Genomic DNA, 2988 nt, shown 5'->3' on the forward strand with positions numbered 1-2988 from the left:
GCTTCTAACAAAGAAAATTTAGCATGATTAAGACATTTTCTTTTAATGCAAATCAAAACCACAATGAGATACCATCTCACAAAAGTCAGAATGTTGATTATTAAAAAGGCAAATAACAGATGCTGGTGAGGCTGCAGAGAAAAAGGAATACTTATACATTGTTGGTGGGAATGCAAACTACTTCAGCCACTGTGGAAGGCAGTTTGGAGATTTCTCAAAGAACTAAAATAGAACTACCATTCAACCCAGCAATCCCACTACTGAGAATATACCCAAAGGAAAATAACTCACTCGATTAAAAGGACACATGCACCCGCATGCTCATTGCCATAGTATTCACAATGGCAAAGACATGGAATCAACCTACGTGCTCATCAACAGTAGATTGGATGAAGAAAATGTGGTACATATGCACCTTAGAATATTTGGCGGCCATAAATGAAATTGTGTCCTTCACAGAAACATGGATGCAGCTGGAGACCATTACCCTAAGCAACCTAATGCAAGAACAGAAAACCAAATACCACATGTTCTCACTTATACATGGGAGCTAAACATTGAATACACATGAACATTAAGATGTGAACAGTAGAGACTGGGGACCTCTAAACAAAAGAGGAAGGGAGAGGGGTATGCGTTGAAGAACCACCTGTTGGGTGCTATGCTTACAGCCTAGGTGACGGGATCATTGAGACCCCAAGCCTCAGTGTCATGCAATTCACTCATGCAACAAACCTGCACATGCGCCCTTTAACCTATAATAAAAGTTGAATAATTTTTAAAGATTTTAATATTCATCTGAGGAAAAATATTGACATAATTTAGCCTAACGTCTCTGCCGCCATATTGTAGGAATCAGAAAATCTGCCAGGCATTTTTGAACTTAATTTAAATGAGTTGTATGGCTTTGGGCAACTTTTTTCCTTCTGAGTTAGCATTCTCTAAATTGTTTTCCTCAAAATCAAGGGGAAAAATGATCCGCTTAAATAAACTGGAGAAATAGTTTGTTAAATAAGATAAGGATAAAGATTCATTGCTAGAAAACTTCAGAATCTTTGGCATGCTAGTTTTGCAAAATGAACCTCTAGAATGTAACATTCCCAAAATTATTTAAACACAGATTCCATTTTTATATAATACATATCACCATTTAGGGTTTTCTTTGGGGGGGGGGGGTAGTTTAAAAACATTGTTTTAGTACAAAACTTATGTTGACATATAAAGCTAATATAATAACTCTAAAACTATTTTCTAAGTATAATTAAAAGCCCAAGAAAACCAAATTTCATTGGCAGATGAATCGACTAGATAAGGAATAAGAAGTGACTTTATGTTTATTTTGCCATTTCAACTGAATATTAACTTTTATACCATAGGGCAACCACATCTAAAAAATAATTATTTGTCAGTGGCATCATTGCATCACGATAATCAATAACTAATTCTGAAAGAAATTACCAATCAACACTGAACTATTAATGAAGAAATTGACAAGGTACTTAATTGTATCAAGAGCTAAGGAAATTTATCTACAATTCACATATATGATTAATAAATGGATTATCAAAGGTAATTATAGTTGCATTGATCACCTGTTTCAAGTTTATTTTCTCAGATTATTTGTAATGAGATTAATTATCTCTACCTTTGTTTGCATTAAAGTAAACATTTCACATACACAGCAGTGTTTGGAGACCTTAAAGGAATGTACTTTAATGATGATAAGTCAATTTTTATAATCATCCATTTATCTTGAAGCTTTTATTAGTGCATTTTATTTTCTTTCAATAGATTCTTGCACTGAAGACTGTGATGGTAAGTATACTGCTGTTGTTAAATTCAATAATTGATGTTGATATTATTCCGTATGATTGCACAACAGACTGCATAAGTTGTAATTAAAAATCGGCAGCCTGTAGGAGAAAAACCTAATACAGATGGCGGGTTGATGGGTGCAGCAAACCACCATGGCACTTGTATACCTATGTAACAAACCTGCACGTTCTGCATATGTATCCCAGAACTTAAAGTATATTAAAAAAAAAAATCAGCAGCCTGCAGACCAAATCCATCTCCCATATGGGTTTTGTCTGGCCTTTATCTTGCTCAATTGTTATTTCAAAGATAACTTTAAAAAATACACGTTCAAGGACAGGCGCGATGGCTCACGCCTGTAATCCCAGGACTTTGGGAGGCTGAGGCGGGCAGATCACGAGGTCAGGAGATAGAGACCATCTTGGCTAATACGGTGAAACCCCATCTCTACTAAAAATACAAAAAATTAGCCAGGCGTGTGGCACGCGCCTGTAGTCCCAGCTACCCGGGAGGCTGAGGCAGGAGAATCACTTGAACCCGGGAGGCGGAGGTTGCAGTGGGCCAAGATGGCGCCACTGCACTCCAGCACCGGTGACACAGCGAGAATCTGTCTCAAACAAAACAAAACAAAACAAAACAAATTCGAATAACAGCAACAGCAACACATCTGGTCACGTTTGGCATACACCACCAATGGCAGAAGCCAACTGGAGCTGAGTAGAGGATTTCTCTTTAGGCAGAGAAATTGCTTTACAGTTTTCACGTCTGTTCACACAATACACACCTATGCGTTTTCATTGCTTCTGTTCATTTACATGACCTTACAGGTCCCTCCAGATCTGAATTGTAGCAACTGGTATAAAGATAATTTGAACAATAACAACATGCAAAATATATGCTATACATCTGAAAATAAAACATACTATAGTAGAAATATCCCTGAAGGAAGCAATAGAATAATTTGGCTTTAATCTCAGATTGCCCCTAATTTACTATCTAGTAATTGTCAAAACATTGCAGTTTCACTGACCTCAGAAGCTTCTTCTGTGAAATGAGAGTATTTGTGTCTTTTCGGTTTTAAGAAGTCCTTAAGCCTCTAATAAATGTTTTTAAAAATTAATAAATTAAGCCTCAATTTAGAGTGTTTTTTTTTGTTTGTTTGTTTGTTTTTTT

The 2988-nt window shown here is 36.2% G+C and overlaps 1 annotated feature.

The window, feature by feature from the left end:
• Window positions 2396–2596: a silencer, noted in NCBI's record as "peak3989 fragment used in MPRA reporter construct". NCBI's record gives its function as "represses an SCP1 promoter by STARR-seq MPRAs in K562 erythroleukemia cells {active_cell/tissue: K562}" and the evidence as "EXISTENCE:reporter gene assay evidence [ECO:0000049][PMID:32103011]".

Source organism: Homo sapiens, chromosome 2, assembly GCF_000001405.40.
Source record: "Homo sapiens chromosome 2, GRCh38.p14 Primary Assembly".
In the NCBI taxonomy this organism is placed as follows: domain Eukaryota; kingdom Metazoa; phylum Chordata; class Mammalia; order Primates; family Hominidae; genus Homo; species Homo sapiens.